Source organism: Homo sapiens, chromosome 1 (genome assembly GCF_000001405.40).
Source record: "Homo sapiens chromosome 1, GRCh38.p14 Primary Assembly".
Taxonomy (NCBI): domain Eukaryota; kingdom Metazoa; phylum Chordata; class Mammalia; order Primates; family Hominidae; genus Homo; species Homo sapiens.
Genome location: NC_000001.11, coordinates 151,743,727 through 151,759,646, shown reverse-complemented (window position 1 = coordinate 151,759,646; position 15,920 = coordinate 151,743,727). Strand labels below are relative to the sequence as shown.

The 15,920-nt window shown below is 41.0% G+C and overlaps 2 pseudogenes; one reads left to right on the top strand and one right to left on the bottom strand.

Annotated features, from left to right (window-relative positions):
* RPS11P3 (ribosomal protein S11 pseudogene 3) lies at positions 1,215-1,566 on the bottom strand (annotated as a pseudogene).
* On the top strand, positions 11,947-12,050 carry RNU6-662P (RNA, U6 small nuclear 662, pseudogene; annotated as a pseudogene).

The following is a 15,920-nucleotide window of genomic DNA, read 5'->3' as shown; positions in this document are numbered from 1 at the left end:
GTAAGTGTTGCTTACTGGTCTTGAGTAGATGAGACAGGACATCCAACTGAGATTTCCTTGAGTCACAGAGGTTTGCTGCTAAAAAGGAAAGAAGAGAATATCTTAGACTGCATCCCACAGTTACTGTGGTATGAACAAATTGTGCTGAACAAGTTGATGATGTGTTTGGTCTTAACACTTACTCTTCTTAGATACATTGATGTAGTCATCAATGTGAATAAGCACAATGGATTCTGCTTCTCTAAGACCTGAGTAAGGCCTAAGGGTAATTGTTGGAAAGCTGGGATGAAAGAAGCTTAAAAAGGGAACTTTTTTCCTTGAACCAGCTCCTGAAATTCTGAAAAAGAAGTTACCTTAATTTTCTAGACCAAGATTAAGATAGGGAGCTAGTCAAAAGGTAACTCTGGAATGGATGAATGGATGTCTTGATGGGAGATAAACGAAAGTAGATAGTTTTTTCCTTTTTCTTTTTCTTTTTTTTTTTTTTTTTTGAGACAGAGTCTTGCTCTGTCACCCAGGCTGGAGTGCAGTGGCATAATCTCAGCTCACTGCACCTCCGCCTCCCTGGTTCAAGTGATTCTCCTGCCTCAGCCTCCCGAGTAGCTGGGACTACAGGCATGTGCCACAGCACCCGGCTAATTTTTTATATTTTTAGTAGAGATGGGGTTTCACCATATTGACCAGGATGGTCTCAAACTCCTGACCTCATGATCCACCCTCCTCGGCCTCCCAAAGTGCTGGGATTACAGGCAGGCATGAGCCACCATGCCTGGCCTGAAAGTAGATAGTTTTCTGTAAGTTCAGAGTTTCATTAGTAGAAAAAAACATTCATTTTCAGGTGGATTGTGCCAAGGTCACTCAAATACAATGTGAGGTCATGCAGTTTAGGGTAGTAAAGATGGGATCATTGACTCCTTTGCTATCCATACCAGACATTGGTTTCTTTCCTATTTGAGCTCACCTACCACTCTGAGTCAGTTAAACACTTTCATCCCATCTCAGCTAATGAGAAAGTCTGTCATCAGTAGTTGCACTGATAACTATAGCCAACTTCATACTTGACAGAGCTCTGTAACTCAAGTGTGGCACTGGCACTATCTGAAATTTAGCATTTCTCCCCTCCCCACCCTTTTCTTTTCTTTTTTTTTTTTTTTTTTGAATGGGAAAATAACATTATTTCACATTAGGGAGTAGGCAGGCATCCAGACTCAGAACTGGAATTGCTTCTTGGTGGCATTGGGGACCATGAGCATGTTGAAGTGTACCATCTTGCTCATGCTGGTGCTTACCCAACCATGATGATGTTGCTGATCTGGACATCCCTGATGCAAGGGGATGGGTGCATGAACATGTTCTTGTGCTTCTTGAAGCAACTGTACTTACACATGTAGTGGAAATAGTCTTGGTGGATGATGTTGATCTTTTGCATCTTTTATCTTGGTCACCATGCCAGACAGGATCCACCCTCAGATGGAGATGTTACCAATAAAGGGCAATCAGTGTAAATATAGGTGCCCTCATAGCCTATTTGGGCATATTGAAGCCCAAACTGATTTTTTTTTTTTTTTTTTTTTTTTTTGAGATGGAGTTTCGCTCTTGTTGCCCAGGCTGGAGTGCAATGGCACGATCTTGGCTCACTGTAATCTCTACCTCCCGGGTTCAAGCGATTCTCCTGCCTCAGCCTCCCAAATAGCTGGGATTACAGGAGCCCACCACCACGCCCGGCTAATTTTTTGTGTATTTTTAGTAGAGACGGGGTCTCACCATGTTGGCCAGGCTGGTGTTGAACTCCTGACCTCAGGTGATCCACCCGCCTCGGCCTTCCAAAGTGCTAGGATTACAGGCATGAGCCACTGCACCCAGCCCCAGACTGATCTTATGGTCCTATAGGAACTTCTCATTGCCAGTATCTCCCAGCAGGACCCTCTTGTTTTGAAAGATGGTTGACTGCTTTTGGTAGGTACACTCAGTCTTGGATTTAACAGAACTTCCTGAAAGGTTTGAGCCTCCATTAACTTGCAGAGACCCCAGTATTTAGGAAGCGCTAATCTAGATTGAAGTAGATGCATACACTTCTGTACCCCAGTTAATCCCTAGTGAGTTGGGGACACCCAGAATTAACCCCCAAACTGAAGCACAGAGTTCTGCCATCCTGGACACGCTCCTGAGGTTTGGGGAGGACCTGCAGCCTCGGCATGAGCCCCAAGCCCACTGAAATTTGCCATTTCAATGATCCCCATTCCTATTGTCCTTGAAATGGTAGGCTAATTAAACACACACAGCATCTCTCAACATGACCATCACGAAACTCTCTGAAATTGAGCAACGAGCACACATTTCACACAGCTAACCTTAAAAAGCATTTAAATACCTGCCATAGGTTGAGTTCTTGGCAAAAACACTCTGTGTTGGAGATTCACATGCAGGAAGTTTATTGGGAGGAGTTATCTGCATCAACACCTATTGGGGAGTAAAGGCAGTAGAATTGGGTAGAGGGAGAAATTGAGCTGATGCAGTCTTAACAAACGCCTCAGTCAATCAGGAGCTCAAACTAGGATGGCTCTGCAGGATGCCCCAGTAGGGTAAGTGGGCTGGACCTTATCTCCCCACTTGACCAGGAAAGGGGTATGATCATGAGTGAGGTGGCTAACTTCAGCCAAAGGCGGTCCCTGGATGAGGCACAGGTGACAGCTGTCAGCATTCTTAGCAGCTTCAGTCCTCAAGGGGAAAATATGGGCAGCACACCACAGTCAACACTGCAGTCCACCCTTTGCACTGCTCAGACTGATTTGTTTCATTAGTTCTGGAATGGTTTCTTCAGGATTCTGATGGATCTCTTTCTGGGGAAACTTAAAAGAGGAAGGTCTGGAACAGGCCACAGCCTCTGCTGCTGTAGCTTGAGTTTGCAACTGGCATTCACCTCCCTTCTCTACTACCTATTGTTGATCTTTCCCCAACCCCCTTGAGGGGGTTGTACCTCTGGTTCACGTGGGTTACCAGATGAGGTACCTGGCCATCATGCCCTTCTCAGACTATGACTGCACTTGTTCATTTATCATCAAAATTGGGCAAGGAGAAACATACTCAAGTGGATGATCTGGGTGCCAGATATATTCTTCCCTGTCCCCACTGTGTAATAGCAGCCCCACCTCCTGATAATGACTCATTTCCTTGCCTTGTTTCTTGGTAGTGATTTGGAGTAATCTAGTGCCTGCCATAGCTTAAAGTTTAGTGAGATTCAGTGTGTTCACTGGTGCAAATATTCCCCTTCTGGGAACCAGGACTTCTAAACCCTTAGAGACCAGAGTTGGGATAGAAGGCACAGTTTCTTCAATTGGGTCACTGGGAGTGATGATAATGCGGGCTGCTCCTACACCCACCCTTTGTTCCCCAGAGCCATATATTTTCCTTAAGGATACACTATTCAATGGCTATTGGTCTCAGGTATGTACTGCATCATGAAGGATGATGCCTTCTCCTTACAGGTTATCATCTCCAATCCGGTGCCTTAGCTGTGCTTTTAACAAGCACTCTATCAGGGAGCAGCTTCTGCATAGTACGGTATGTGATTAAAGCCAATCCTACCATCATGTGCCCAGCATTGTACCTCCTTGCTATCAAGTGGGTCTCTTGGTTTGATGCAATGTTACACAAGATTTCAGGCCAATGGATCAAAATTTTGTAAACCTTTGGATGGTGTTGCTGACCGAGGCTGTGCAGGCAGGAAAGGCAAACCAGTACCCATAATATACATCAGTGCCCCTTCAAAATAGAACACTTCCCCTTCCAAGGTAGCAAGGATACAGTGTAATCAACTTACCACCAAGTGGCTAGACGGTTTCCTTGAGGAATGGTGACATCAGGCTAAGTGTTGGTCTCTGTTGCTGGCAAGCTGGACATTCACTGATGCAGTAGTTAGATCAGACTTGATGAGTCCATGACGTTGAACCCTTGCATTTGCTCCACCATGGCTCCTCCGTTCATTGATCACTTTGCCAGCATTGGGGTGCCAGCAACAAAGCCTGGTTAACATTATTTGGCTAAGTCATTCCATCTGCTTGGTTGGTACCTTTTCTGTGGTGGATGTTATCTGATGGGAATTAACCTGCAATACAAAAATCATCACACTGTATACCCATTCTCGGGTATGTTATGTTCCTTTTCCCCACACTTCCTTGTTTTTAATCTTCCAGTTTGCCTTCCAGGCCCATGAGTCTATATATATTCTTACTTCTGGCAGGTACACAGGCCATCTAAGTGGGGCCATAGTGCAGCCACAGTGTATTTCCAGCCTACTTTCACCTAATGAGACAACCAGTACATTAACCAAGCTCAGCCTTTTTCCTCTTCTGTCATCAGGTCATGAGGGATCTCCGATCCATGTGGCTACAGATGTAAACTGAGAAAGCACCACCAGTGCATCAATAGTGGGTGACAGGGCATCTGGGCACCTGCTTATGTAGCTCACTTTTGCCTTCCAGCCCTGCTTGTTCCCAATTCTACATATGCCACTTTCATTTTATGAAGGATGACCGGTCGACCCACCCAGCCTTATGACTTGTGGGTTTGACAGAACCCAGGTTATAATACATCATGACTTAACGTCCCATAGGTAAGCACATTGTCTCAACTAGTACTCGGTAGCATTCCAGGAGCTATCTTTTGAAAGGTATATAATGCTCTGTTTCAGATGGCATGGCATTGCTCCAGCACTATAGGGGGCTGTGTGTGACTTACTATTGGGATTTATCACGAACAGTATATGATCTTTTCTCACCACTGACACCTCTAATATAATATGGTGTCTTGTGATCCAAGCCGCAGGGCCATTTGTACCACAGTCTTGGCCTGCTACAGAGCTTTTACCTGCTCTGGGACCCACTCAAAGTTGGCAGGCTTTTGTGTCACGTATGATATTTGTGTCAAAGCAACATTTCCAAGTATGGAATATGCTAGCAATAGACCCCAAGACATTTGCAAGGCATTGTGCTTTTTAGTGGTGAGAAATACGAGATGCAAAATTTCTCCTTATCATCTTTGGAGGGAATGTCCTGGTATGCTTCAGACCACTGGACTTTTAAAAACTTCACTGATCTGGCAAGATCCTGAATATTTGTAGGATTCTTGCCCTACTATTTGAAGAAGATTTATCCTACCAAGGCCTCTGATACAGGTATCATTTCAGGTTCATCCTGTACAATTACCATGATGTCATCAGTGCAGTAATGGGATGTCCTATGGAATGTCCTAATGGTCCAGGTCCCTTCAGACTATATTATGACAGAGGCAGGAGAGTTTACATGGTCCAGAGGCAAAACTGGAAATGTATATTATTGCTCATCTCAGTGAAAGCAAGCTTTTATGATCTTCCTTTCTACAAGGATGAAAAAGGGTGCATTGTCCAGATCAATACATACCATGTAGGCTGCGTTAATCTTTTCCAGCAAAGATATCACATTTGGAACAGCAGATAGAATTAGCATTATTTGTTGATTGAGATTGCAGTAATCCATACTCATTCTCCAAGATCTGTCTGGTTTTAGCAGTTGCCAGACTAGTGAATTAAATGGCAATATGATGGGCACCACCACCTCTGCATTCTTTAGGTCTTCAAGCAGGGCACTAATGGAGTAATTTTTATTTATTATATTGGTCTGGAATGGTGGAGGCAGTTCCAGACACTTCATGTTGGCCTTCCTCACTATGATATTTCCTACCTCACAAACCAAAAAACCAACCTGGTGGTTCTGCCAACTGTCAAATATGTCTATTCCAACTGTCCATTAAGGACTCATGAAGTAACTACTAGGTGAGTCTGTAAACCTGGTAGACCTACTGAGAGTCAGAGCTGGAGCTGGAATACAATTATTACCTAGCCTCCACACCCTGCAACTCTAACAGAGGTCCATAATGGAGCTTCCAATCCTAGGGTGTCAATGTCAATGGACTCTATCCAACAGTGCTTTAAATGTTTGCATAGTCCTCTTTCTCTCCTGTGTCTTATGAAAATAAAAGGTCATAAGTCCCTGTGGGTTAGGATTGGGAAAATTACTACCTTATATACTTGTCATGGTGTCTCAGGGTCCTTTCTGCTAGAGACGTAGCCTCTTTAACAAGTTGTTTCCAGCTGAAAAATTGGCCCAAGAAGACTTCCACTTCTCCCAAGAAGGAAGTACAGCTACAGAAATTGCCTTCCCACTATACAACTATGAAACCAGATAAAATTATGAAAGAAATATTTATAGACAATGGAAAGCCAGTAGTGCAGAATTGCCTCAGCTTACTGCCTAGAGGCAGTTTCCTGCACTGCAGAGAGGGGAGCCGCAATAGAGTCAGCAGTCTCATTGAGTGGAGAAAACAGAGATTAGGGTTGGTGGAGAATGTGTTGGCTAGAAATTAAGAGGGAAGGCTGGGCATTGTGGCTCACGTCTGTAATCCCAGCACTTTGGGAGGCCAAGGCAGGCAGATCACCTGAGGAAGAGAGTTCGAGACTGGCCTGACCAACATGGAGAAACCCCATCTCTACTAAAAATACAAAATTAGCTGGGTATGGTGGCGCATGCCTGTAATCTCAGCTACTTGGGAGGTAGAGGCAGGAGAATTGCTTGAACCCAGGAGGCAGAGGTTGCGGTCACCCGAGATTGAGCCATTGCACTCCAGCCTGGGCAACAAGAGCGAAACTCCATCTCAAAAAAAAAAAAAAAAAGAAAAGAAAAAGAAAAAGAAAAAGGAAAGGAAAGGAAAAAAGGGAAAACACTGGAGATGAGGGAATGACACCGAGCGCTTTGGAGATCTGCCAAGAGGTCCCAGACCTTAAAACTTTGGCTGAATACTGATATGTACATTAATGAGGCAAAATTCCACAAGGCAGGGGGTTAAAATCAACAACAACAACAACAGAAAATGAAAGGCCAAACAATTCTCAGAACTTACACAGGATTGGGAATATTTTGTTTGTGTTCCTCACAGCCTATATGAATAGATCCTATAATACATGGGGCATTATATAGAGACTTTAAAAGGACTCAGTAGTGGACACTAGAATAAAGGCTACTCTGGAGCCACCATGCAAAGCTTGAAAACAAGCACTGATGATCGAACTGATACCAAGCATGCCAGAACCAAGTCCAACACTCATTAGAGAAATGCAACAAAACCTATCACTGAACAAAATAAAATTCCCAAGGTTTGACATTCAATTTAATATTATTGTACTGGATGTGGTGGCATGTACCTGTAGTCCCAGCTACTCAGGAGGCTGAGGCAGGAGGATCACTTGAGGCCAGGAGATTGAGGCTGTAATACAGTATGATCACACCCAAGAAGAGCCACTGCACTTTAGCCTGGGCAACACAGTAAGACCCCATCTCTTTAAAAAATGATTATAAAAAGAGATAAGAAAACATTACCCAGAACCAAAAGAAACAGTCCCAGAAATGTCAGAAATGGTGGGATTAGTAGACAGGACATTAAAAGAGATATAAATATGTGGTGTTGTTTTTTTTTTTGGAGATGGAGTTTCGCTCTTGTTGCCCAGGCTGGAGTGCAATGGCGTGATCTCAGCTCACTGCAACCTCCACCTCCCCGGTTCAAGTGATTCTCCTGCCTTAGTCTCCCCAGTGGCTGGGATTACAGGCACCCGCCACCATGCCCAGCTAATTTTTTTTAGTAGAGATGGGGTTTCACCATATTGTCCAGGCTGGTCTCTAACTCCTGACCTCAGATGATCCTCCCACCTCAGCCTCCCAAAGTGCTGGGATTACAGGTGTGAGCCACCGCACCTGGCCTGCATGTTCTTAAGAATTAAATAAAGGAAATGAAAGTAGACCCTTATTTCATACCATATATAAATATCAACTCAAAATGGGGAAAAGACGTATATATAAGACCGGAAACAGTAAAACTACCAGAAGAAAACACAGGGGGAAAGCTCCATGACATTGGTCTGAAAAATGGTTTTTTAGATATGAGCCCAAGAGCACAGGCAACAAAATCAAAAGTAGACAAACAGAATTGCATCAAAATAAAAAGCCTCTGCACAGCAAAGCAAAAAATCAACAGAGTAAAGAGACAACCTACCCAGTGGGAGAAAATATCTACAAACCATACATCTGACAAGGGGTTAATATCCAAAATATATAAGGAACTCTAACAACTCAATAGCAAGAAAGCAAACGACCTGATTTTAAAAATGGGCAACGGGCCAGGTGCAGTGGCTCATGCCTGTAATCCCAGCACTTTGGGAGGCCGAGGCAGGTGGATCACTTGAAGTCAGGAGTTTGAGACCAGCCTGGCCAACATGGTGAAACCCCGTCTCTACTAAAAATACAAAAATTAGCCGGGCGTGGTGGTGCGTGCCTGTAATCCCAGCTACTGGGGAGGCTGAGGCAGGAGAATCACTTGAACCTGGGAGGCAGAGGTTGCGGTGAGCTGAGATCGTGCCATTGCACTCCAGCCTGGGCAACAAGAGCAAAACTCCATCTCTAAAAAAAAAAAAGAGAAAATAGATTTTATGTGCTCTTACCACACACAAAAAATGATAAGTACAAGAGGTAATACATACGTTAATTAGCTAGGTTTAGCCATTCCACAATGTATGCATATATCAAAACATCATGTTGTACCCTATAAATATATGCAAGTTTTATTTGTCAATTAAAAAAAATAAAAACAGACCAAGTCAGGAGAAAAAGTTAAAAAAAGGAGTTTGTACTATTAACTTCACCAAGGCGTCAGAGGAGACATAGTATTTTAGTTCTGAACTTAAAAATATGTGAAACTAGGGGTTATAGAAATAAATATTTAGCCATTTTCCTAGTTGTCTTTTTGTAAAGGTTAACAGTTTCATACTGAATTAAATTTAAAATGAACATATTTAATCTATTTGTTAAATAATGTAAAGAAAAACAAAAATATAATGAGGAGAGAAATGGAAGGTATTTTTAAAAGACCAAAATGGAACTTCTTGAGATGAAAAATATAATATCTGAAATGGAAAATACACTGGATGGAACTTCTGCCTCTGGGAGGTTGGGGTAATGTACTTTGACCACTCCTAGAACAACCATAAACCCTGGAAATTATTTATTAAACGTAAGAAGACTTTGAAAGGTGGAGAAAAGAAAGCAGACTGGATAGAAACCTCAAGACCCAAGAAACACCACAGTGGTGAGTTCTCCGAGTTTTCCTTTTGCTTCATTTATTCCACACTTGGAGCTGAAGAAACCAGCAACCAGGAAATGTCAATGGGCACAGACCAAAAAGAAAAAGAAAAGCTCCAACAAAAGCCTGTTTCTGCTAGCCAAAGGCAAGGGGCAGTCTGCAAGACAGGAACTTTTAGCCATGCTACAGGGTGCCTAGATTAAACTTTATTCTGGGTGGTCTGTGAGGTGTTTCTGGATGAGATTAGCTTTTGAATCCATGGACTCAGTAAAGCAGATTACTCTCCCCGGTGTGAGTGGACATCATCCAATCTGTTGAGGGCCTGAATAGAACAGAAAGGCAAAGGGAGGACAAATGTCCCTGTTTTGCTTCCTACCTGCCTACTTGAGCTGGGACATCAATCTTCTCTTGCTCTTGGACTGGAATTTATACCACTGGCTCCCTTGGTTCTCAGGCTTTCAGACTCAGACTGGCATTACACCACGGACTTTCCTGGGGCTCTAGTTTGCAGATGGCAGATCATTGGGTTTCTCAGCCTCCATAATCACATGAGCCAATTTATACATATATTCCATTGGTTCTATTTCTCTGGAGAACTCTATTACCGTGGCCCTACCCCAACCCATGCCAAAACTAAGTGGGAAACCTAGACTTCCACTCTCTCAAGATTGTAACAGGCCACCCCAATACCCTTACTAGAGTGGTGTCACACAAGGCCAAGTAGGGAACTGGGACTTTTGTCCCAGCCAGCCAGTAATGAGCCCTCCTCTCTGTGTGCATGATGGCAATAAAGACCGTGGTGTCAGTGGGGAACCTGGATATCCATCTGGCAGAAATGAGGTACCCCTCTGCTTTTCTGCTCAGTTGGTATCAGAGGAGGCCTAGTAGAGAGTCAGGACTTTAACCATCACCCAGAGGTAATGAGGCCACCTCTACCACAGTATCAGTAGACACCATGTGGGGCTGGAACAAGCAGCCCTATCCAGCAGTAAGGAGGAGACCTGTCCCGCTTGAGTGTCAACAGAGGTACAGTGGGAAATCTGAACTTCTACCTTCACCTGGCAGCAATGAAATGACACCCCCTCTCATGCCAATGCAGTGACAGACAAAGTTAGTTAAAACAAAAGTTTTAAATTAAGATCCAAAGTCTTATAACATAATACAAAAATGTCCAGATCTCAAACTGAATGAAAAAAGACAATAGAGGTCAACACTGAGATGGCAGCTATATTAGAATATCTGACAAAGATTTTAAAGCAGCTATGATAGAAATGCTTCAAGAAGCAGTTATGAACACACTTGAAAAAAGTGAAAAACTATACAACTTCAGCAAAGAAATAGAAAGTATAAGGAAGAACCAAATAGAAATTTTAAAACTATAAAATACAATAAACAAATAGAAAAGCTCAGTGGATAGGCTCAATGCCAGAATAAAGAGAAGAAAGGGAAGAATCAGCATACCATAAGGTAGAACAATAGAAACTACTCAGTCTGAACAACGGAGAAAATAGAGTGAGAAAATGAATAGAGCCCCAGGGACCTGAGAGATGGTAACAAGAGATCTAACATTCCTGTCACTGGAGTCCCAGAAGAAGAAAAAAAGAAGGCAGGGCTGAAAAAGTACACCAAGAAATAATGACTGAGAACTTCCCAAGTTTGTCAAGAGACAAAACATAGTGATTCATAAACATAGTGATTCAAAAAGATGAGGAAGGCCGGGTACAGTGGTTCACGCCTGTAATCTCAGCACTTTGGGAGACAGAGGAAGGCAGACTGCTTGAGGCCAGGAGTTCAAGACCAGACCGGGAAATATGGTAAAACCCCATCTCTAAAAAAAACCAAACCAAAAAAACAAAAACAAAAACAACAAAAAAAAACCACACACACAAAATATTAGCCAGGTATGTTGGCATGCACCTGTGGTCCCAGCTGTGAGAGGATCACTCAAGCCCAGGAGGTCAAGGCTGCAGTGAGCTGTAATCACACCACTGCACTCCAGCCTGGGCAACAGAGTGAGTCTCTGTCTCAAAAAAGAAAAAAAAAGAAAAAATGCTGAGGAAACCTCAACCAAGATAAACCCAAATAATCTGTGCCAAGACACGTTAAAATTAAACTTCTGAAATCAGACAAAGAAAAAAAACTCTTGAAAATGTCACTATAAGGAAACAAACAATTCAGTGACAATGGATTTCTCATCAGAAATCATGGAGGCCAGAAGGAATTGGTACAATATTTTTCAAGGGCTGAAGGAAAATAGCAGTCAACTCAGAATTCTATACCCAGAAAGAAATAGAATTCTATACACAGAAAGAAAAATCCTCCAGGAATGAAGAGGAAACTAAGACATTATCAGAAGTTTTCTTAGGAAAGCAAAAAGAGTTTGTCACCAGTAGACCTACTCTAAAAGTGGCTAAAAGAGATTCTCTAAATGGAAAGGAAACAATGAAAAAAGAAATCTTGGAACATTAGGAAGAAAAGACACAGTTAGCAAAAAATATCGGAAAATCAATAGACATTTCTTCTATTGAATTTTCTAAACTATGTTTGACAGTTGAAGCAAAAATAACAACACTTTCTGATTTTATTCTAAAGGTATGTAGAGGGAATGTTTTTAGAAATTATAAATTAGAGAGGGAAAAGGGACAAAGAGAGGGTTTCCATACTTCACTCATACTGGTAAAATAATGACAGCATAGGCTATAATAAGTTATGTGTATATATAATATAATACCTGGAACAACCAATAAGAAAGCTATACGAATATACTCAAAAACACTGTAGAAAGTGCTCACTTCAGCAATACATACATTAAAATTGGAATGATACAGAGATTAGCATGGCCTTTGTGTAAGGATAACATGCAAATTTGTGAAGCACTCCATATATTTTTTAAATGCCATAGATAAATCAAAATAGAATTCTAAAAAATGTTCAAGTAATCTTTAGGAGGTAGGCAAAAGAAAACAAAGAAACAAAAATTGGGAAAAAAAAAAACAAAACAAAAAATGGCAGACTTAAGCCCTAACATACCAATAACCACATAAAGATTAGTAGAATGAATTAAAAAGCATGACCCAAACTATGTACTATCTACAGGAAACTTACTTTAAATATAATGATATGGGCAGGCTGAAAGTAAAAGGATGGGGAAAGTTATATCATGCAGACATTAACCAAATTAGCTGGGCTTGGTGGCAGGCACCTGTAACCCAAGCTACTCAGGAGGCTGAGGCAGGAGAATCACTTAAACCTTGGAAGCGGAGATTGCAGTGACCCGAGATTGTGCCACTGGACTTCACTCTGGGTGACAGAGCGAGACCCTGTCAAAAAAAAAAAAAAAAGCCACAAGTGGTGGCTCACACCTGTAATCCCAGCACTTTGGGAGGCCAATGCAGGCAGATCACTTGAGGTTAGGAGTTCGAGACCAGCCTGGCCAACGTGGTGAAACCTCATCTGCACTAAAAAATACAAAAATTAGCTAGACATGGTGGTGGGCGACTGTAATCCCAGCTACTCAGGAGATCAAAGCACAAGAATCACTTGAACCCGGGAGGTGGAGGTTGCAGTGAGCCGAGATGGTACCACTGCACTCCAGCCTGGGTGATGGAGTGAGACTCTGTCTCAAAAAAAGACAAACATTAACCAAAGGAAAGCAAAAGCGGCTATACTAATAACAGGTAAAGTAAACTTCAAAGCAAAGAAAATTATCAGAGACAAAAAGGATCATCATATAATGATAAAAAGGGTCAATCCATCAGTAAGACATAACGATCCTGAATGCATATGCACCAAACAAAGGAGCTGAAAAATGTGTGAGGCAAAAACGAATGGAACTCAAAACAGACACAGACAAATCCACAATTATATTTGGAGACATCAACACCCCTCTATCAAAAATGGATAGAACAACTAGACAGAAAATCAGCAGGTATATGGAAGAACTCAACAATATCATCAAACCAACAAGACCTAATTGACATTATATAGAACACTACACCCAACAACAGCAGAGTACACATTATTTAATGCTCTCACAGATCATATACCAAGGTGGACCATATCCTAGACCATGTAACAAATCTCAACAAATTAAAAAGGATTACACTATACAATATGTTCTCTGACAACTATGGAATCAAATTAATAATAGAAAGATAGGAGGGGCCAGGAGCAGTGGCTCACGCCTGTAATCCCAGGACTTCAGGAGGCCAAGGCGGGCAGATCACCTGAGGCCAGAAGTTCAAGCCAGCCTGGCCAACATGGTGAAACCCCATCTCTAATAAAATACAAAAATTAGCCAGGTGTGGTGGTGGGCACCTGTAATCCCAGCTACTCGGGAGGCTGAAGCAGGAATTGCTTGAACCCAGGAGGCGGAGGTTGCAGTGAGGCAAGATCACACCATTGCACTCCAGCCTAGGTGACAAGAGTGAGTAAAACTCCGTCTCAAAAATAAAGAAGATAGGAGGAAAATTTTCAAATACTTATAAGTCAAACAACACACTTTGTAAAAACCCATGGGTCAAAGAGGGAGTTTCAAGGAAATTTTTAAAAAATACCTTGAATGCCCTGAGTGCAAAGGCACAAGCCTGAAGTCTCAGCTTCTCAGGTGGCTGAGGCAAGAGGATTGCATAAACCCAGGAATTCTACTGGATGATTTAAGAAAAAAAAAAAAAAAGAGTTTTGAAATACATTGAACTGAATAAAAATGAAAACACAACCTATCAAAATTTCTGTCACACAGCTAAAGCAGTGCTGAGGGAAAAATATGGCATTAAATGTATACATTAGGAAAATAAAAAACTCCAACATCAATAATCTAAATTCTCACCTCAAGAACTTAGAAAAAGAAGAGCAAACTAAACCCAAACCAAGCATGAGCAAGGAATAATGAAGATACCAAAAAGAACAGGAAATCAATGAGATTTATTTTTTAAAAATCAATGAACAAAATCAATAAAACAAGTAACTGTTTCTTTGGAAAAAAATTATTAAAATTGGCAGGCCACTAGCAAAACTGATGAAAAACAAAAAGATACAAATTACCAATATCAGGAATGAAACAACATATCACTACAAACATCAAAAGGATAAGGGAATACCATGGATCTATACACGTAAATTGACAGCTTAGACAAAATGGACCAAATCAAAAAACACAAATACCACAATGAACACAATATAAAATATATAATTTAAATAGCTCTGTAACTATTAAGGAAATTAAATTCATAATGTAAAACTTCTCCCACTCCCTAGGAAAGGAAATCTCCAGGCCCAGATAGTTTCACTAGAGAATTCTACCAAATGTCTAAAGAAGAATTAACACCAATTCTACGTAATAGAAATAGAGGAGGAAAGAACACTTCCTACTTCATTTTATGAAGCCAGTATTACCCTGAGGGGGAAAAAGACAAAACAGTATAAAATAAGTACAAACCAATATCTCTCATGAGTATAGATGCAAAAAGCATTAACAAAGTATCAGTAAATAGATCTCAGTAATGTATAAAAAGCATTACACACCATACCCATCTCATTCCAAAGATGCAAGGCTGGTTCAATATTAAAAAATCAATCAATGTAATCCATCCTATTAAAACTCTAAAGAAGAAAATCACAAAATAAAATCAAGTAATGCAGAAGACTCATTTGACAAAATAACACTCATTTGTGATTTAAAGAAAAAAACAACTCTCAGAAAAATAAGAATACAGAGAAACTTCCTTAACTTGACAGAGTACCTGTAAAAAGCTTACAGTTAACATTACACTTAATGGTGAAAGTCTGAATGTTTTTATATTCAACATAGTGCTGAGGTAGTACAAAGGTACTACCTCAATTCAATGAAAAGGTACTACCTCAATTCAATTTAAAAAAATCAATTCGCTGGAGGAAAGCTAGCCTTTTCAACAAATGATGTTGGAGCAACTGGACAGCCATAGGCAAAAAATGAAACTCGATCTAAGTCTAATACCTTCTATAAAAATTAGCTCAAAATGGCAAAAGACTTAAATGTAACTTGTAAAACTATAAAACTTATTTTTAAAACAGAAGAACACTTTCAAATTCTAGGATTAGACAAAGAGTTCTTAGACATGATACCAAAAGCACAATCCATGAAAAAAAAATTGAGATTTTGGACCTCTCAAAATTAAAAACTTTTGCCCTTGGAAAGCCCATGTGAAGAGGGTGAAAAGACAAGGTACTGGGAGAAAATATTTGCAAATTACATATCTAACAAAGGACCAGTATCTTCAGTATATTAAAAAAAAAAAAAAACCTCAAACTCAACAGTAAAAACAAAACAAAACAAAAAAACTGCCTGTAATTCCAGTAAAAAAAAAAAAAAAAACCCTCAAACTCAACAGTAAAAACAAAACAAAACAAAAAAACTGCCTGTAATTCCAGCACTTTGGGAGGCCAAGGTAGGAGGATCACTTGAAGCCAGGAGTTGGAGAACAGCCTGGATAACATAAGGAGACCCCATCTCTACCAAACATTTAAAAATTAGCCAGGTGTGGCCGTGCACACCTGTAGACCCAGCTACATAGGAGACTGAGACAAGAGGATCACTTGAGCCCAGGAGTTCCACGTTATAGTGAGCTATGATCGTGCCACTGTACTCCAGCCTGTGCAACAGAGTGAACCCCTATCAAAAAAACAAAACAAACAAACAAAAAACCCCACAAACAATCCACTTAGAAAATGGGCAAAAAACATGAATATACATTTCACCCAAAAGAATATTCAAGCATATG